Here is a 21512-nt window from a genome sequence, read left to right on the forward strand (position 1 = left end):
ACTTGACTGATTACACATACACCCTGGATTTACAAGACCTGAGCTCATATTGTGGCTACCACTTACTGGAAAAAAATTTAACTTCTTTTTTTTTTTTTTTTTTTTGAGACAGAGTCACCCAAGCTGGAATGCAGTGGTGTGATCACAGCTTATTGCAGCCTCAACCACCCAGGCTCAAGCAATCCTCCCACTTCAGCCTCTCAAGTGGCTGGGACTACAGGCATATGCCACCATGCCCGGCTAATGTTTTTTTTAAGAGATGGGGTCTCACTATGTTGCCTAGTCTGTTGTAGAACTCCTGAGCTCAGGCAATCCTCCCACAAGCCACCATGCCCAGCCTTATTTAACTTCTTAGCTTCATTTTTACCCCTTAACAAAGGAAAAAGTAGTCTGCACCTGGAGTTAATTTGTATCAATTTCTGTCATCCCTAGAATGCCCTCTATGTGTACATGAGTAGAATTACCCAAAGTTGCAAAAATCTGACAGATAACCAATAATATTTTCACTTTTATCTTCAATGGAAACTATCCTCAGATAAGTATAGAACATGGGCTTTTAAAGACTAGGCAAGTATGAATGAATAAACGCATACATGAATGAAAATAAAATTATATTTTCAATCTTATTTCTCTGTTTTACTTGAGTCATGAGCAGCTCCTATTTTCTTCTGCTTATAATTTACCCACATTTGGTGATTCATCTCTTAAGTCTATACAGGCTCTTTAATTATTCCCATGAATTTTCAGTATATGATACAGTATAAGAGCAGAAAGAGTTTCACTTTATTGGAAGGAAATCTGTCTTAAAGTAGCCTCTTACAGTGAACTGTATGTAAAAGTGAGAAATGTCCTCCCCATCCAAAGCTTTTTAACTCTATCTTCAATAGTTTGTATTTGGGATACTAAATTACATTTCAGGGCACACAACTTTGATTTCAGAAATTAACAATAACCAGACCATATCATATGTTAAACGTGGTTGAGAAAATATTAAAAATTTAGTACCTCAACTCCCTCAAGTTTTTTTTTTTGTTTTTTTTTAAATATTAGTCAAAATGTTATAATTATGGCCGGGCATGGTGGCTCACAGCTGTAATCCCAGGACTTTGGGAGGCCGAGGTGGGCAGAATGCTTGAGTCCAGGAGTTTGAGACCAGCCTGGGCAACATGGCAAAACCCTGTCTCTACTAAAAATATAAAAACTAGCCGGGTGTGGTGGCATGTGCCTGTAGTCCCAGCTACTCGGGAGACTGAGGCGGGATCGCCTGAGCTCAGGAAGCAGAGGTTGCAGTAAGCCGAGATTGCGCCACTGCACTCCAGCCTGGGTGACAGGGTGAGGCGTCGTCTCAAAAAAAAATTAAAAAGTTACATTTATGTCATACAAATGTTATTTTATTATAACTAAAGTTATTTGTACCTTTGGACAAGCATTATATTGATAGCAATATAGCACTTAAAGGATTTCTATCAAGTACAAAAGAAAATAGTAACAAACACAGAAGGTAGGATAACAGGAAGTAAAACCACAGACCTAAGAGGCAAAGCATTTGGCTTTATTGGTGAACAAAATGTGAGACATGAATGCTTACTAACATTTTTGACATAGTAGGTATCCTTTATTTCATGAAAATATCCCCATAACATGTTAAGAAATGCTTTAGAATCCTGAGATTAAAAAACTAATAATATAGAAAGTATGTATCTCCTATCATATATGTATGACTTAAATTAAATAACCATATAAGATGGAGCTATTTTTAAAAATATTGTTTTCACCTATTATTAATGATCATTCCTTGAAATCAAGACCTGCTAAGTTAAGGTATATTTAATGCCAAACAAAACAGAAAAGTTGAAGAAAAATACTACTTCTCCATAGTATTTTTAATGTGTTTGAGGCACTGAATGAGTACAGAGTCATAAATTACAAGTTGGGAAGTTAGGCTCTAAAGTAACAGCATCACTCTTGGAATTACTCCCCCTTTTTTTTGGCTACTTTCCACATTCAGGCCTCCTTCTGGACTTAGGCCAAGAAACAATTCTCCTAGAAAGTTTTCCTTCACTTCCTCAGGTTGCATTAAGGATTCACACAATCTGCTTACATATCAACTTACATACTTTCAGCACAGGCAATATAGCATGGTATTGTAGGCATCTGTCATTCCCTCTAGATGTAATGGTTTTTTAGTTCATATATTTGTACTGTCGGCATCTGCAATGCCTGTTACACACAAAGAACTCAATAAATATCAAAAGAATGAGTATACAAATAAAGTTACTCAATTCTTCCAATATTCATAGGAGGAACAAAATGAACAGCTACATTTCATCCTTAATATCTTTATGTCTACAGTGTTCCTCAATGAGGGAGTGTTATGGCATATTAGGCAGGACAATTCTTTGTTGTGCAAGACTCTTATGCATCCTGAAAGATATTTAGTATTCCTGGACCATGCTCACTAAGGGCCAGTGATACCCCACAATCATTACAACAATCAAAAATGTCCCCAGATATCCTAAATGACCCCAGTTAAGATTCACTGCATCTGTAACTATAATTATATATGTGCGCGCGCGCACGCGCGCGTGTGTGTGTGTGTGTGTGTGTGTGTGTGTGTGTGTGTGTGTGCTCCTACCTCAGCCTCCCAAGTAGCTGTGGCTACAGGTGCTTGCCAGCAAGCCTGGATTTTTAAAAAAATTACATTAGCTTAAAAGCAATTTATCATATTCAAATACGCAACTGAAACAAAAACCAAAAAGTACCTGGGACATGCCTTGTGGAATTGGTAAATTTGTAGCTTGAGACATCACTGGCTGTGTTAATGATGAACCAACAGACTGGGAATTTATGGACTAGAGCAAAATAAAAAATAACACTGAAGTGATTCTCATTCCCATACATGAGTACTTCCAGCAGAAATATCAATATGATATTCGTATTAATAAACTTACCATTTGCCTCATACTTTTGTTAGCTGAATACAGCTATGTCTTCTCATCTATATTGGAAAGGCCTGTTCCCTATTTATCTTTTATTTTCCAAGGAACTTCCTACAGTACCTTGAACAAGCTCTCAATAAAAGTTGGCCAGACTTAAGACAATTGGTATTTGAACTTAGACATAAAACAGCTATCAATTTTGAGCTTTCCACAATTAAAAAAAAAAAAACTAACATTTTACTTGAAAAATAATTAGAAGGACCAATACATATGACAACCACTTCATACAAGAAAAGGAAGTCTTAAGTAAGTGTCACATATCAGTAACTATTTTGATCTTTACAAAGAGGGGTGACAAATAGATGAATTTCTGAAGATTTAGATCATTTTTCCCCTCTTAATAAATCTTTATTCAGAAGAATATCCACTAAAGAGCTTACCTGACTACTAAATGATGACCTTCTTTGCACCATCTTCTCATGAGCTGGTAAATGCTGCCTGGGTGGAGTGCTCGTATCCGTCGGGATCTTGGTTGGTGTTGCTGAAGTCAACAAAATCAGAAGAGCATTAGTACTTTATAAAATATAGTTTTTAAAGATTAATCTCAAAATGTATTTCAGTTAATAAAAATGGCTTTTGAATTATTTTTCCAAACCATTCAATGAAAGTGAAGTCCATGACAGATGATTCAATGTAGTTACTTCTATCTTTTTATGAGCACAAAGAAAATAGTTGAAATAGGAAAATTTTAAATACAAAAAGTCACTAATTTAATGACAATTATACAAGTCTTCAAAAAGAGAAGACAATAAAAAACTTTCAAAAAGCAAACCTAAGAACACTTACTGGCCCTACAGTAAAAAAACACAATAAATAGTTGCCTTTCTTTTTGAGGGATGATTAAAAACATCACCATCACCATTACCACCTACACATTTTAATAGGCTACTTGAAGAACTTAATTCTTTGCTGAAAGTGGGCAATGTCCCTTTAACTCACTGGAAAGGTTACTACATTTCAGAAATGTAAAAACTTATAATTTTAAAGAAGCGTTTGATGAGAAATGCTGATATAAGTAACTAAAAGTTTAGTTAGTTACTTTAAAGGAAGTCTGCTTTGAAGCAAGGGTACTCACAGGAAGGGTCTGAGACGGCCGTGTGAGATGATTTTCTTGAACTCCGAGAAGAGGCAGAAGGGGTTGGGCTGTGATCAAACCTTTCCAATGCTTCCTTGAGACTGACTGTGTTTATACGATTATCTGACCCAGAATCTTGGCTCTATGGAGACAGAGTAAAATAAATGTTTTCTTGTGGTTCAGTTCAGAGATCTCAAATTCACAATACTGTTAACAACAACAAAAAAATCAGTTTTTGTCTATAACAAGGCAAAAGTACCTGTATGTACATACACATGTAAAGAAATGAAAATTTATGTGTTATAGCCAGAAAGTTTTGGCTTCATTTTCTATTTAAAGAAAGAGAAGAAGAATGAAGTTGGAATCTCTTACACCATATACAAAAATTAACTCAAGACCAGGTGTGGTGGCTTACACCTGTAATCCCAGCACTTTGGGAAGCTGAAGCAGGCAGATCACCTGAGGTCAGGAGTTTGAGACCAGCCTGGCCAACAGGGTGAAACCCCGTCTCTACCAAAAATACAAAATTTAGCCAGGCATGATGGCAGATGCCTTGTGATCCCAGCTACTCCGGCGGCTGAGGCAGGAGAATTCCCTGAACTGAGGAGGCGGAGGATGTAGTGAGCCGAGATCCTGCCACTGCATTCCAGCCTGGGCAAAAGAGCGAGACTCCATCTCAAAAAAAAAAAAACATTAACTCAAAATGAATCACAGACCTAAATTTTAACAGCTAAAACTACATAACTCTTACAAGAAAACATAGGGGAGAAAGCCAGGTGAATGCCTGCGGTGCCAACTACCCAGGAAGCTGAGAAGAGAATTGCTTAAGCCCAGGAGCTAGAGTTTCATAGTTTCATACAGCGACACTAATCTTTCCCTTCACCAATGTTTCTTTCTCCATCAGCTCATTCTCATCAGTATACAAACATGCTGTTATTTCTCTCAACTTAAAAAAAAAAAAGGCAAAAAATTCCTTTAAGCCCACTTTCCCTTCCTACCACTGCCCCATTTCTCTTCTCTTTGTAGCAAAACCCCTCCCTATTCACTGTCCCTAATTCCCCCATCCTGGAAAACTGTCTTTTAAACCAACTCTAATCATGCTTTCACCCACACTGCTACTCCACAAAATCTGTTCTTATTGATCACCAATGAATTAAATGTTAAAGTTAATGCTCAGTTCTCAACACTCATCTAAAATTTAACTTATTTCAGCTGAATCTGATACAGCTGATCATTCACTCCTCACTGATACTCTTGTCTTCTAAGTAACTTCCTGGTTTTATTCCTAACTTACTAGCTATTACCCCCCTGTTGTTGATTCTTCCTTGTCTCCATCACCTCTTAATATTGGAGTGCTCCAAGACACACCCATCCCTTTGGTGATCCCATCAAAATTCATGATTTTGAAACCATCCACACATTGAAGTTTCTCAAAAATATCTCAGAAGGACCTCGTCCCTAAACCCCAGGGGGATCATGATGCTGGCAGTAAATATGGTGGGAAAGTAGACATAGCTGGTGTGTATTTTGGAAACAGGGCTAATTTAGGATTTACTAGGATTGAATCTTTGCATAAGGGAAAAAGAAGGATAATTAATCTCTGTATTACTTCAGTTTTCATAATGGTCCCCTAATCAAGGAACCCTAGATTTTAAGAACTTTTCTCAGAAAATAATGTCTTCTACCAAAACATACTATGTCCTCTTCTTCTAAACATACAAAACCTCTTTGGAAAAGTTCTTTCACGTGGGATCCATGAAAGCAGGGAAGTTGTTTGCATTATTCAGTGCTGTATTCTTAGCATCTAGATCCATGCCGGGTAGAAGGTACTTTATAACATTTGTTGAATGACTGAATGACATCTACCATATTGTCCCCTGGAATGCTGCCTATTTAACTCAAGTTTTATATAGATTTTTGACTCTTTTCATTCTACTTATTTTCTGCAGGTCCAAAAATACTGTGGTAGGCAATTTCTGACATGGCTCACAATTCCTGCCTCCTGATATTCATGCCCTTGCATAATCCTCCCATCTTGAGTGTGGGCTGGATCTACTGATTTCCTTATATAATGCATAGAATAGACAAAAGTGGTGAGGTATCAATCCTGTGATTAGGTTACAAAAGACTGTGACTTCCATCTTGCAGGTAGTTTCTCTCCCTGGCTCATCTTGCATGCTTGCTCTGATGGAAAAGGTCACCTGGAAAGGAACTGAGGATAGCCTTCAGCCAGCAAGAAACCAAGGCCCTCAGTCCAACTGCCCATGAGGAACTGAAGTGTGCCAGCAACCACTAAGTGAGGTGGAAACAGATGCCACCTCAGTTGAACTTTGAGATGACTGTGGCTCCCACCAACACCTTGATTACAGCCTCATGAAAGAATCTGAAGTAGAGGGTCCAGCTAAACTGTGCCTGGACTCTTGACTCACCAAACTAGGAGATAACAAGTGTGTTGTTTTATATCACTAAATTTTGGAGTAAGTTGTTACACAGCTATAGATAACTAATATACTATACTTCTGACCTGATATAACAAAAAAGAAACCAGAGTTCCAATTCTGACTATAATTTCCCAGCCAGTGTCTTTAGGGAAGATTTTTTTTTCCCCTCTTGAAACCCCAATTTCAGTATTTTCAAAGTGGGGATATTACCTACCCGATAAAAATATCTGATGTGTAAATTATATTTCATAATTCATATAAATAACCTAGCCAGAGACTAGTACATCACTGGGAATAAATGGTAGTTTTGAGATCAGACACATCTCTCATCCAATTTTCTTTTTAGAGGCAGGTGAGACTCTAAAATATTAAATTAAAAATAAGTAGTAAAGTATAATCACATCCCCGTTATAAGTGAGGAAATAAAGTATTTTTGAAAAATAGTTTTCCTATTAATTATTGAGTTTCATCTTTTATTGGGGAGAAATTAAAAATAATTTTTTTTAATTATAAGAAACATACTTTGTCAGCAGCTGTCTCAGGAAGAGACTCTTCAATGCCAAGTTCTCGTCGTCTTTCAGCCCTAACTTCTGCATAACTACAAATGGAAAAAATAATCAAATTTTAGTGTCTGGTCATTCGTTTAAAATACTGCACAGCTGTAACTATTCAGTGTTGTTACGTGTCTCATCTGTTCATCTAGACTATTTGCTATGTGCTACACAAACCTAAAATATACCTATAATGTCTTAATTTAACTTGCATTTTTCTAGGTATCTTAAAGTTTCATACACTGCTGTAAACGATCCATAACCACACAATACTTAAATTAAGAAAAATAAATAAAGGAAGTGTATGCTTATCTACCTACAGTTTTCCTTTTACATGACTGACATTACTACATAAATGACAGTAACAACTTCTGCTGTAAAGCACAAAATTTATATCAAGACTTATATATCTATATCATTCCTATATTTATATATAATGCCTATAAGTAAATTTAATAATATATTGAAAGGATCTATCAGCAATTGAGAAAAGAGCACTTTGTAGCTCTTTAACAACTTACGCATAAAAGTTACAATGCCAAAATCATCATAGGATGTTACAGTAATTCAGAAATTCTCTAAAAGAATTATTACCTTACTACAGTGTGAGTACAAACAATAAACTCTGGCCTTGAATTCCACTGATGGTAAGTGATATAATAATGAGTCTGAAGCCAAATCCACTGTTGCCCCTTAGTCAGGAACCTATAATAACATGATTTGCCTTTCCCATATTGCATTACTAAAAGGAAAATAGAGAAATATTTTTTCTTTAATTCATATTATATAAAGATTGTTTTTTAACCAAAAGCTATCATTTACATTTAAGTTTACACATACTATTATTTTTCTGGCCTTTTGATAACATATATGTCAATATGAAAATGTTATTCTTTAGAGCTAGTTTAAGGTCCCAAGCAATTATCAGATCTACAGTGCCCAATTCACAGCTAGTCACTGCTGATCTTACAATCTTTCCATACACAATTAATACTTAAGAATTCACACTGCTGACTTCCTCCTGCCTAGATATACAGAGGGTAATAACAATAAATAATCACCCCTGAGTTTTTTCTCCTAACTACTCTGGCAGGCACAGAATCTTTGAAGCATTTAATTTTAAACCTTAACTAACCAAAATCAAAGTAACTGAGTCTGAAGTAACTGAGTGCAGTAACTGCCAAAACATGTGCTGTGGATTTTAAGTTCTGAAGCGTTTTAACAGATATTAAACAAAAAAATGGGTTTTGGGCCAGGTGTGGTGGCTCACGCCTGTAATCTCAGTACTTTAGGAAGCAGAGGTGGGAGGATCACTTGAGGTCAGGAGTTTGAGACCACCCTGGCTCACATAGTGAAACCCCATCTCTACTGAAAATACAAAAATTAGCCAGGCATGGTGGTACGTGCCTGTAATCCCAGCTACTCACGAGGCTGAGGCAAGAGAATCACTTGAACCCGGGAGGTGGAGGCTGCAGTGAGCTGAGACACGCCACTGCACTCCAGCCTGGGTGACAAAGCAGGACTCCATCCCAAAAAAAAAAAAAAAAAAAAAAAAAGGGTTTGTAGTTAAATTAATTTGGGAAACTTTTTGTTAAATAGGTGTCTTCAGTTTTCTCAAAACCTAGAGTATGCTAATGCATGTGCAGATTCTCTGAGGGATTATGAAGTGTTTCCCCATCTTCCTTGACTATAAAGTCTTTTTTTATGGACCAACATTCGGTGGAACAAACCTTAGAAAATGCTAGTCAAGAATCTCTCAATCTGTCCCCCCACCCCCCAACCCCGCCGCCACCGCCTCTCACTCTCTAAGGAGGAAATCAAGGTCTACAAACAAACTTGCTGTCCAAAGTTACCCAGCTAGTTAATAGAGGTATCAGCTCTTTAGACAACATCATGGTGCTTAATGCCCACATCTTTTGTGCTGAAATGACTTTACTCTGAAAATTTTCCATAGAGTTAATGCTATTATACAACCTGCTTCATTTTCATACAGTGAGGTTTATAACAGCAGCATAAAACGTCATGAAAAGGTCTAAAATATCTAGTTAAGCTTTAGTGAACACTCAAGATGGTAAGCATCTGGGAGGAGGATCAGAGAAGCAAATAAAACATATCATTAAGGCAAACCTCATCATTAAAACAAACTTCTAAAATAAATACATGTGATAAAAAGAGTAGGCCTAGGCTCCAATCCTGTCTCTGCCACCAATGAGCTATGAAATTATGGGTGAATTACTTAGCCTTACTGTGTTCTCAGCTTACTCATGAAGATAATAATAGCATCTACCTTTTAGAACTGTGATGGAGAATAATGAAGATAATAGATGTAAAGTGTTTAGAACAGTGCCTGGCACAAAGGATGATAATGCTCCTGCTCTAACAACAATAATAAGCAGATAACACCAAGCACTTACTATGAGCTTTCTAAGACAGATTTTCCAGACATGTACCTAGCTCCTGAAAAGATTCACATGCCTCAAAATCAAAATTTAGGAAACAATACTCCAAAAGTTTGAAGTATTACAATTTTCAAAGGAATCTACTTCTCTTACTCCAGATATAGAGCTCACGTGCTTCAGAACAAGGTGTATTAGATGCAATATTATAAAATTCTACTTATTATAAAAATAGGAACAAGTTTAAACTTGATCTATGATTCCTACTACATTGGTTATATACATAAAGCAAAATCTTTTAGCATATTTCAAAAATATGAAAATGATTATAAATCTGTGTCTTACTACCTATCATTTCAGGACAGGACTTCTGCTTATAAAACAGTTATTATCACCAGAAATGTTAAAATCTACTTACAGTGCTCATGACATTTTGCCAAATTTTCTAGGTCATCCACATGATAGTAATCATAGCCTGATGTTCCCAGAACTTCAAATGGCAAATACCCTATTATGGGTGGTGCCCTAAATTACACAGAAAACAATCATTATTATAAGTTTTTCCATAATAAGAAATATTTCAACTAGAAATAAACTTTGGGGGGGGGGCTTTATTTTTCAAAAAATGGGAACAGGTTTCAAAGTCCTAATTTAAAAAAAAGTTTGCCCTTGATCCATTAATTTCAAGAATTATATAACATGACTATTACCTTTTCATGGAATTTAAAAATGGAATTACCTGTGATCTAGAAACAGAAACTTCCATTCTAAACTATGTCTAGATGTAAACTCTTCATTGGGTTCTTCAACAGTGCACATTTCCTACAAATAAATAATTAAAATTTATAAATACTTTGTGTCCTTAAGAATATTAAATATTGCTACATATAAAAATAAGTCATGGCCAGGTGCAGTGGCTCACACCTGTAATCCCAGCACTTTGGGAGGCTGAGGTGGGCAAATCACTTAGGTCAGGAGTTTGAGACCAGCCTGGCCAACATGGTGAAACCCGATTTCTACTAAAAATACAAAAAATAGCAGGGCACGGTGGCGGGCACCTGTAATCCCAGCTATTCGGCAGGCTGAGGCAGCAGGATCACTTGAACCCAGGAGGTGGAGGTTAAATAAATACATAAATAAATAGTCATTACTAGATAAACTTTTCCTAAACAAGTTAGTTGTTTCTATGTATGTATATATTTACCTATTTCTTTGTTTGACACAGGGTCTCACTCTGTCACTCAGCCTGAAGTACAGTGGTGTGATCTCAGTTCACTGCAGCCTCAACATCCTAGGCTCAAGCGATCCTCCTGCCTCAGCTTCCCAAGTAGCTGGGACTATAGGGATGCACCACCACGCCCGGCTAATTTTTGTATTTTTATTTGTAGAGGTGGGGGGTCTATGTTGTCTAGGCTGGTCTTCAACTCCTGGGCTCAAGCAACCTGCCCACCACAGCCTCCCAAAGTGCTGGGATTCTAGGCATAAGCCAAAATGCAGGCCCTTCTAAACAAGTTAATATATTTTAATTTTCCAGTACTAAAGAATGTGGTAATAAATAACCTTTAGATGCAAGCTTTTGGGTGGGTACTTCTCACTCTACACATTTTCCATTCACACATGCCTATAAACGCTTATTCAAAATTCAGACCTCTCTCCTGAATTACAGTTCCATATTTCCAAATATCTGAATGTCCTCATACATCTCAAATTCAATATGTCCTAAAATAAACTAACTGCTTTACTCCTCACACCCAATCACACAATTTTCCGTATTATTCTATACATGTGTAGTGGCCAGTGTCTAGAAATCTGATAGTTAAAAAAACATACTCTTTCATTTTTACCTTTCATCATCTAAGTGGCCATTACTAAATCTTTTCCATTTCATCTAAGTATTTTAAAAATCAATTCTATCTCATCCATCTTGAGTGCATTGGTTTAGACCCCTGCCATCACTGATTTGCTACAGTGTTCACCAGTCTCCCTGTCCTTCAACTCATCTTCTCTTCTAGGGCCACAATTACCTTACCAATACTCAAATATTATATGACTTCCCTGCTAAAAAACCTTCAGTGGTTCCTTGTGCTAAACTCTCTTCAGCATGGAGAAATAAACAAGAAAGAAACAAATTTTATTTCTGGTTTCTGATTACTTTTCTAGCCTTACCTCCCACTATCTCTTCCCCCTCCACACACTAACCCTAGACTCTAGTCATACTAAACAATGTATTCCATCCTGCCTCTGTGTCCCTGAATGACCTGCAGCACTCTGTAATAGTTGAGAGCTTGGGCTTTGAGAAAAAAACAATTATTAATTAATAGAATCAAGTCCCAGTTTCATCACTAATAGCTGAGACTTTGGGCAAGTCACTTAACTTCCCTAAGCCTGTTTCCTTATAATGTAAAATGAGGGATCGTAATGGCATCTAACTTATAGGGTTGTCATAAGAATTAATGAGATAATGCATATAAAATACACAGCATGTAGTAAGCACTCAAATGTTAACAACTATTATTTCATAAGATCAAAACAAACCAAGCAAGACTGGCTTAAGATCTTCTATTAATTCAGTACTTTGTCCTATACTATGATGTCCCCCCAAATTTATTTGAGACAGAGTCAGACTCTGTCTCAAAATAAAATGCAAACACAGTTCACTGCAGCCTCGACCTCCTGGGCTCAAATGATCCTCCTGCCTCAGCCTCCTGAGTAACTGAGACCACAGGTGTGTAACACCATGCCTGGCTAATTTTTTGTATTTTTTGTAGAGATGGGGTCTTGTCACGTTGCCCAGGCTGGTCTCAAACTACTGGGCTCAGGCAATCCTCTCGCCTTGCTCTCCCAAAGTGCTGGGATTACAGGCATGAGTCACCTCGCCTGGCCCCGCCGAAATTTTAAATCTTAGCCTGGCTGCCTCTTTCCAGTCAGTTTCTAGTGGTTAACTCTTTCACTTTCCCACTTCCCTACTTGTCATCTGTTTGTTGGGTCCAGGAAATAAAAATAAAATACCTAATTTTACATTTGAAAAGGTAAGTTATATGTGGCAAAGAGCCACTTGTACATTTCAAATAAAAATTTAAAAGTTACCTTCTAAAAATAAAGATTCCAAAAACCTAGATTTTTGGACTTTCCCTTTTAATAGAGATAATGAACAACACACAAAAGGATCCTAAAATCTTCCACAAAAGTAGGGCAATATTGATATATAATAATCACTGGTTAACTGCAAAGGATATATACTAAAAAATTAGTTATACAATTTAATGAGTGTCTTGATAACTCATCGTTTCAAAAATATTATCATGCATATTTAATGACTCATAGCCATTCCACCTCAATGTCTGCAGGAAGTTTCAGGCAGCTCTCAGCATATGAACTGAAATCCCCTTTGGGAAATAAAATTAAAAACATACCTTGATGAACTGAGGTGTAGCTAACCTGACAGTAGCTACAAAACAAACTCTATCTTCATAAGATGGCCTATGTGTGCGTTGTATAGTTCCTTCAAAACCATTGTGTGCTGAAGAGGATACTAAAACAATAGGGAAATATGTATCATCAGTTATGCCAGCAAAACCTAATTGTCACTGATATTCAAACATCTATGTCTTTAAGAGCACAGAAAAATAACAAGTTAAAACACATTGTGAGAGAAGCATTTTAACTCACCACTGTTTAAAGATTTGAAATTTCCTATAAATTTTACATATTCATAGGTAGATGGCTCCTTTGGGTCTATTGTTCCTCGCAGCATGTGACAACAGAATTCTAACTGATTTTTTGCTGAAATAAAAGAGATTTTAAAAATCACATATTTCTGATATAAAACAATGATTGATATACCACATAAAGTAAGATCATAAAAGTTGTGTAAGTTTACAACCATTATTTTCCCCAACAGAAGTCGTCAATGACATTTAGTTCATAAAAGTAGAGCACCTTCAGGAGAGGATCTCACTTTGTCTTTAATAGAAAAAATAGATTTTCTGGTGCAAACAACTTAATGTTTCCCTATTTTTAGCTACTCATCCTTTTCATTCTTTACTCACTTTCAAAGGAAAGTTTTGCTTCACATTCTAAAGCTAATCCTTCCATCTCTACCATTTATAGTCTTTCCTATTTTCTCTAGGACCCGGGCCACATCACTGTTCCTTATTCCTTTAGCATCTACACCTTTGGGTCCTTACTTTCTTCTTTTTTTTGAGACAGGGTCTTGATTTGTCACCCAGGCTGGAGTGCAGTGGCATGATCACTGCTCACTGTGGCATTGAACTCCTGGGCTCAAGTGAGCCCCCTGCCTCAGCCTCCCAAGTACGCAAGACTACAGGTGTGAGCCACCATGCCTGGCTAATTTTTAATTTTTTATAGAAATGGGGTCTCACTATGTTGCCCAGGCTGGTTGCAAGCTTCTAGGCTCAAGCAATCCTCCTGCCTCAAAGTGGAGGGATTATAGGCGAGAGCCACTGCACCTGGCCAAGGGTCCTTACTATCTACTTTTAAATTTGCTCACGTCTTCCATCTGAAATAAAGGAGTTTCACTAATTATTTGGTATTATAGATCTCCTTCCTTTTCATTATGGGCTCCATCTTCCATATATTCATTTCCCTTAACTTCACACACTGTGACTTACACCTCTACAGCAATTATTCTTCTCAAGATTACTAACATTTGTATCGTTAACTTCAATGATTTTTCATTTCCACTTCTTAAAAGTCATCCTTTGTCATTCCCACAGCATAAACTTACCTTCCCACCTTACTGACTATTCCTATCTCTTCTGCTAATCCATTTTCATACTAGGGGTTTTCACAAAGGTTCTTCTGATCCTAAATCTCTCTCTCCAACTCTAGCATTTTACGTGAGACAAAGTTACCTATCATTTGCTTTCAGGACATTCGAACTTGATTGTCCCATTAGTAACTTAAATTCAAAATACTTGAAAGTGAATTTATCTTTCTTTCAAGCTCCCTTCGTCTATGTATGCTTATTTCCCAAGTTAGAAACCGTTAACAATTTGGTCTCTTCTCTTCCCATCACAAGTCCCAAACCTAATCTGTCATGAAGACCTGCTACTTATTTCACCAAGGAAGCCTGCCAATTTAGTGCAGTTGCAAATTACCTTGCATCTAGGTAACCGAAATATGTATTCATTATGCCTCCACATTCTGCCACTCTGATTCAGTCTTGTCTATTACTCTTAGACTTGTAATTACTTTCATGGTATTATTTCCGCACTCAAGGACTAGTAACACCTTTCTTTGCTCACTACTTCAAGCTTATATTCTTCGGTTATTATCATCATAGATGGCTTTATCATCTAACCTAATCAGTAAAAATCTATCTATCTTCAACCTTCCCCACTGATGATTCTTAGTCACTTGGTCACCTGAGCCTACCACATCAAGTCCTATTGAGTTTACACACTTAACAGTCATATACTTTCCTCTCCTTTTTTTTTTTTTGAGACAAAGTCTCATTCTGTCACCCAGCCTGGACTACAGTGACATGATCTCAGCTCACTGCAACCTCTGCCTCCTGGGCTCAAGTGATCCTCCAGCTCAGCCTCGAGTAGCAGGAACTACAGACATGTGCCACCACACCCCAGCCAACTTTTCTATTTCTCTTTATTGTATAGACGGTGTTTCACCATGTTGCCCATGCTGGTCTTGAACTCCTGGGCTCAAGCGATCTGCCTGCCTTGGCCTCCCAAAGTGCTGAGATTATAGGCGTGAACAACTGTGCTCAGCCCATCCTTACTTTTATTGCTAGGATTATATGGTTTTCCTTTTTGTCTCCCAGTCTGGTCCTTTTCAAAATTTTCTACCTGAGTGATTTTTTTTAATCTCCCAAACCAGATGACGAAAGTGGCAGCAACTTTTATAAGCAAGGTACTGCTGCTCTTTCTAGGCCAGAGATGCTGGTGAAAGATGCTTTCATTGCAATGAAGACCTGGACCTCCATGAGGCAAAACAGCTGTTACAGGAAAAGTAGTCATAGCTACTGTACCAGGCAGGATGGCCAGCTTGATCATCAGAATGGTCTGATCCATAAGATCTCTGGTTGTGTTTAACTGAACCCTAGGAATGAAACTGAGGAGTAACTCCATAAAGCTATCACTTGATTTGTATAGTAGGAAATCTGCAGGTCAGGTGAGCACAGCCTGAGTTGAGCCACTATGATGAGAAATCCAGGGCTCTTATTCAGCTCTCAGACTCAGGGTCTCTTTATGAAGCAGAAGCCAGGTAAGCCTGGGGTAGGCAACCCACTGCTGCAAGTCTTCTTCCTAGCCTTCTCCAAATGAACTTTCCACTATTTACCTGATTTTGTTTTTCCTTTTTTTGCAGATAACAAAACTACCCAAATCTCCTTCACTGGCTCTCTACTCTGTAAAAAATAAAACTCAAATTCCTTAGCCCCTTTATAATTCTGTCCTTATTCTTTCTCTAGACACAAATTTTACCACCTGTACAACCTCAACTTCATTATGGCCAAAATGACCTACCAAATTTTCTAAGCAATTTTCTCTGTGTTTTAACTTGTGTTTATTCTTTTGGCATGAAACTTTCTTTTTTCTGGGGCAAGAACTCTTTTGTATATCACTTGTTTAACTAGGAGATCAGCAAGCCATTTAATTAAGACTTTTCTTAAGTATTCTTGCCATTTTCATTTCTGTTCTTGGAAGCAGAAGCCTAAGCTCTTTCTGCCAAAGGCTTTTATTTAGTTCTCCAGTCGATTTTATTCTTAGTAGGGTCTTCAAAGCAAACGCCTTCTCCTTTGTCTTCCTATTGCTATCTCCAAAGGGTTCCACCTTTCTTTCTTTTTTTTGAGACAGAGTCTCGCTCTATCGCCCAGGCTGGAATGCAGTGGTGTGATCTTGACTCATTGCAAACTCAGCCTCCGGGGTTCAAGCAATTATCCTACCTTAGTCTCCCAAGTAGCTGGGACTACAGGCATGCACCACCATGCTCAGCTAATTTTTGGTAGAGATGGGGTTTCGCCATGTTGGCCAGGCTGGTCTCAAACTCGTAGCCTCAAGTGGTCTGCCCACCTCAGCCTCCCAAAGTGCTGGGATTACAGGCATGAGCTACCGGGCCTGGCTGGCTTCCACCTTTCTAATTTTTCTCTCCTTGTTCTACGTATTTACCTCAAGCAATCCATTCCATCCATGGCTTCAAATACTAATTGTAGGTATCTATTATATACAGCCTAAATCTTTCTAAGTACCAGACTAGAGTGGCCTAATGGTCAATGTCATATGAACTTGGTTTTAAAACAAGGCTTGAAATGAATTCTCCAACTCTAGTTTTTCTCAACTCTCGCTGAAAGGCCATCCACTCTTACCAAAGTTATAGATACACACAGATTTGTGTGAGTGTGTGTGTGTGTGTATCTCAATTTTTAGACAGTATGCTATAGAATTTGAGGATTCAAATACAAAGAATCTTTAAGATAATGTCAGTATTAGCAGATGAGACACATTTAAAAATAATGAAAAAGGTGATTAAACAAGGTATCTAATAGCTAATGGTGAAATGTACTGCTGTAACAATTCTGGATTTTATACAGGGTAATATATGAAGAAAATGAGGTACTCCGGTCAAATAAATTTGTCAATGGACCTAGTAGAAATGTCTGATTCTACCATAATATGTTGTGTATCTTGATGGTGATAACTATTTTCACTATTGTTGATATTTTTATGATACAGCACAAGTACCTAGCAAATTAGATACATCTAACAAATGACTGTTTAATTGTTTAATAAAGTAGATAATTTATCTTTATATTTAATAATTTTAAAAGAAACATAGAAATTTTTTCCAGTTTGAGTGTCCAATTGGTTAACAATGGTGAAAATTAGAATGTTTAATTTTCCCTTATTAAATACAGTAAAGTTTTATTTATAAATTAATAACTATATATTGCCAGGTCTCACTTTTGCATAAAATACAGCTTTATGGCATAATGGGAGTCCAGGATTTATTATAACAAATAAGATGGGATTTCAATATACACTGAAATAGATTACAGATTTTTAATATGGTCACAATTTCATTTTATATATATTTTAATATTGAAAAAGGACCTAATAGGGCATATGGAGTAATGCTGTATTTAAAGAAGTCTGTATTTTTCATAAACTTGCAAAAGGATAGTGCTACTGAATACAACATTTGACTTTTTTGCTTAACAGCTACTACTTACATTTTAAATATTCTGGGGTTAATGAATCACTTTCCAGCAGATGAGTAGAGAGTATTTTATAAACCTCTGAATGTTCCCCTTCTGGGATAAAATTAAATATACTTTGATCCACAAGATCAGACTGAAAAGAAAATTGTTAAAAGTAAAATAACTTCAATGATTCAAGAGACAATTGCTTTAAAAGTACATAATCGCTATTAAACACAGCAGTTAACTTTCAATTATCTGTGAAAACCAACAAATGTCAAGTTATAGACCAAATCTCAAAAAATAAGATTGAGATCATACTAACGTCATCCAATCCATGACCAATATGACCTTGAAAGCCTGATAAATTATTTGCAAAGCTGTGTTTCACCAAAATGTTCTGAACATTTCAAAATACAACGGGACCAAGAGAGTTAATAAGAAAAATCTCTGGCGACAAGTCATAGCCTTACCATATACTCAAACCTATGGTAAACAATGGTGGTATATCCTACTATAAAGGACTATGCACAAGCTAAATAAAGAGGAGATTTTGTTTTGGTGTGATTTCAATTGTCCAATGTGTCCTTTATTTCATCTTTTCCTGGCATTTATCCTGCATCCCATTGTACAAAAGCCTTGTGTTTAGTTATCCCCCCTCAAAAGGACAACTAATATGTTAAGCATTAGAATTCTTGTTAATACACAGCTTTAATCGTGATTAATCAATAGCAATTTGACAAACATCAGGTTGGCTACAATGTGCCACGGCTGTGGAATCAAAGATGAATAAGATAGTTTCTATACTTAAGTACCACTGATAACAAAACTTCCATGACTTTACATTTGCCACTACGCATTCTACCTGGTTTCCTGCGTTTCAAACTGCTCTGTGGAATCCTAGGGATGCTGAGACAGTATCTCAAGGCCTGTAAAGGTAGGACTAGAGGGTGGGGAAGTAAAAAGGAGCTGAGAAGCAGGGCCCAGGGTCCTGCCCCTGCATTAAACTAAAGCAGTTATACTTTTTGTTTTTATTTTATGCATCTGTGAAGATTTTGTTTGAAGAGCTCCACTGCTTAAAAACAAAAAACATACAACAACAAACAGAGGCAGTAAGAATGGTGAGAGGGGAGAAAGGGGTGTTGTATTAGGTTGGTGCCATACTTTTAATAACAAAAACCGCAATCACTTTTGCACCAACCTAATACTATTCTTCATATAGGCCACACATTCCCATCATTTCTTCTGTCTTTTCTCCAGCCCTCCAAGCCCACTCCATGAAGTGAGATGACCTTCCCCCCTCTCTACATATCTGTATCTTTCCCCTTTCAAAGACCAGTTCAAATTACTTCTTTCAAGAAAGCATTCCCTTAACACCATAATCCACATTAAAAATAAAATTCTTTTATTATTTATTACTTGTATTATTCATTTCCCATTTAGCAGAATTCAGCCAACCATGGATCAAAACTATTCAGGAAAAACAAAAAACAGATGGTTGTGTCTGTACTGAATACGTGCATTTTTCTAATCGTTCCCTAAACACTATAGTATAACACATATTTACATTGTATTAGTTATTATAAATAATCTAGAAATGATTTAATGTATGTAAATGGGAAGATGTGTGTAAGTTACATGTAAATACAACACCATTTTATCTATGCGGCTTGATGATCCATGGATTTTGGTATCTGCAGCGGGTCCTGGAACCAACCAATTCCCCCATGGATACCAAAGGATGACTATATTTTAATGTCTATGTCCTGTTGCCCTATAGCTGAATAAAAGGGGCCTATCTCTTACACCTTTATCTTTCTCACTTCCAATCAGGGCACATTAACACCGTGCCTTGTGTTTAACAGTTATTAGTAAAATAAATGATTTTAGACTAAGGAGGTATTTGATAATGGCTTAAGGGATAACCACACCAAAAATATATCTGTATTTCAGTAAAGGATTTTTCTGGAAGTCTGAAAAGCCTCTACAACTAAAGGAGTGAACTAAAAATTCAGGGATGGCTGGGTGCAGTGGTCATGCCTGTAATCCCAGCACTTTGGGAGGCTGAGGCAGGTGGACTGTCTGAGGTCATCAGTTCAAGACCAGCCTGGCTAACATGGAGAAACCTTGTCTCTACGAAAAACACAAAAATTAGCTGGGCATGGTGGTGTGCACCTATAATCACAGCTACTCAGGAGGCTGAGGCAGGAGAATCGCTTGAATCCAGGAGGCAGAGGCTGCAGTGAGCTGATATCCTACCACTACACTCAAGCCTGGGTGACAGAATAAGACTCTGTCTCAAAAAATAATAACAATAAATAGGCCTGAATAACACAAATGCTAGAAAGTTGCCTTCTACTGACAAAATAAAGAATCAAAATATAGTATATGATATTGATGCAAAAAATAATCTGATATGGTTTGGCTGTGTCCCCACCCAAATCTCATCTTGTTGTTCCCATAATCCCCATGTGTCATGGGAGGGGCTGAGTGGGAGGTGATTGAATCATGGGGGAAGTTACCTCCATGCTGATGTTCTCGTGATAGTGAGTGAGTTTTCCCAAGTTCTGATGGTTTTGTAAGGGGCTTTTCCCCTTTTGGCTCAGCACTTCTGCTTCCTGCTGCCATGTGAAGAGGGACGTGTTTGCTTCCCCTTCCGCCATGACTGTAAGTTTCCTGAGGCCTCCCCAGCCATGCCAAACTGTGAGTCAATTAAACCTCTTTCCTTTATAAACTACCCAGTCTTGGGGAGTCCTTTATAGCAGTGTGACAACAGACTAATACATCATCTTAATAGAAAAACATGCCACCAACTTGAAATATTAATAGGAACTAAAATTTTCATTTTTGAGAATGATTATAGTTTTCTACTATTATTTGTTACTAACAATTTCTTCTACTACTATTTGGTAAATTATGATGTGACCTATCTTATCCTTGTTTTTTCATCTATAACTTCATAGGATGTTTCATATTCATAGAGAAAAGAAAATGAATGCCTGTATCAAGAGTAGTATGATCACAAGCAATGCCTGCCCCAACAATTCTGCCTCTCCTGCCACTTTAATAGGTGTCAAACTTTCCATTAACCACTACACTTAAAATCTCTAAATGAGGCTGACCATACTTTATGTGACCATACATACACTCAGTTCTCAAACACAATCAAACGTAAGAAAAGAAAATGGTAACTACTTGGATCTTTTTATCTCCCTTACTCGTTTCATGAAAAGGAAATATAAGTTCTGCTGATTTACTTATATGACATAAATCAGTAGCCTTTGTTTTTTCTACATTAGGTCAACGTTACCATTTAGTGATTGGATGACACAAACAATTTTTTAAAATCTAGAAGATGTTAATAACAGAGGAAACTGGGTATAGTGCACATGGGAATTCTCTGTACTACCTTGTCCATTTTTCTGTACATCTAAAAATGGTTCTAAAATTAAAAATATTTTTTAAAATGTCCAGAAGAAAATGGGAAGGTGACAGGGTTTTTATTGAGGGAAGTGTTAATCAAACACTTCAATTCCAATGAGATCTATCACATGTTGTCTATTTCAAAGGGCAATTAAACTCACTAAAGATTAGAAAGGGATTTTTTTAAAACAGTCAAATCAAGTAGCACACTCATTTTCATACATTCAACAAATAATCACTGAGTGACGCTCCAAGGAACTAGCTAGCTCCTCTGGATGCAGAGATAAAGTTCCTGCCTTTAAGAAGCTACAACTACCATAACTATCCAAATAAACAGAAAATTATAATTCTCTGTATCATGACAGTAGTACATACAAGGTAACAGTAGAACAGAGATGAAGGGCATCGAATTTTGAATGGAATTCAAGCAAGTGCCAAGAAGCAGGCTTTGAGA

The 21512-nt window shown here is 37.1% G+C and overlaps 2 protein-coding genes across 18 annotated transcripts in view, besides 1 other annotated feature; one reads left to right on the forward strand and one right to left on the reverse strand.

Annotated features, from left to right (window-relative positions):
* Nucleotides 1–7381, forward strand: part of TMEM165 (transmembrane protein 165) — a 57441-nt gene extending 50060 nt beyond the window's left edge. Inside the window, exon 6 of the mRNA XM_011534394.4 lies at nt 6223–7381. Within this exon, the coding sequence (XP_011532696.1) occupies nt 6223–6290 (68 nt within the window). The 3' untranslated portion in view covers nt 6291–7381. The remainder of the gene's footprint in view (nt 1–6222) is intronic.
* Nucleotides 1–21512, reverse strand: part of CLOCK (clock circadian regulator) — a 119007-nt gene that overhangs the window by 18114 nt on the left and 79381 nt on the right. For all 17 annotated transcript variants that reach the window (XM_011534410.3, XM_047416432.1, XM_047416436.1 and 14 more), the window contains 10 exons: nt 17669–17789; nt 13132–13245; nt 12876–12994; nt 10202–10284; nt 9881–9987; nt 7661–7808; nt 7038–7113; nt 4075–4216; nt 3380–3480; nt 2763–2852 (listed from right to left, as the gene is read on the reverse strand). In XM_011534410.3, coding sequence (XP_011532712.1) covers nt 2763–2852; nt 3380–3480; nt 4075–4216; nt 7038–7113; nt 7661–7808; nt 9881–9987; nt 10202–10284; nt 12876–12994; nt 13132–13245; nt 17669–17789 — 1101 coding nt within the window. The remainder of the gene's footprint in view (nt 1–2762; nt 2853–3379; nt 3481–4074; nt 4217–7037; nt 7114–7660; nt 7809–9880; nt 9988–10201; nt 10285–12875; nt 12995–13131; nt 13246–17668; nt 17790–21512) is intronic.
* Nucleotides 1766–2060: a silencer, noted in NCBI's record as "tiled region #15506; HepG2 Repressive non-DNase unmatched - State 16:ElonW". NCBI's record gives its function as "represses a minimal TATA promoter and a strong SV40 promoter by Sharpr-MPRA in HepG2 cells {active_cell/tissue: HepG2}" and the evidence as "EXISTENCE:reporter gene assay evidence [ECO:0000049][PMID:27701403]".

The sequence above is a fragment of the Homo sapiens genome, chromosome 4 (assembly GCF_000001405.40).
Source record: "Homo sapiens chromosome 4, GRCh38.p14 Primary Assembly".
Classification (NCBI taxonomy): Eukaryota; Metazoa; Chordata; class Mammalia; order Primates; family Hominidae; genus Homo; species Homo sapiens.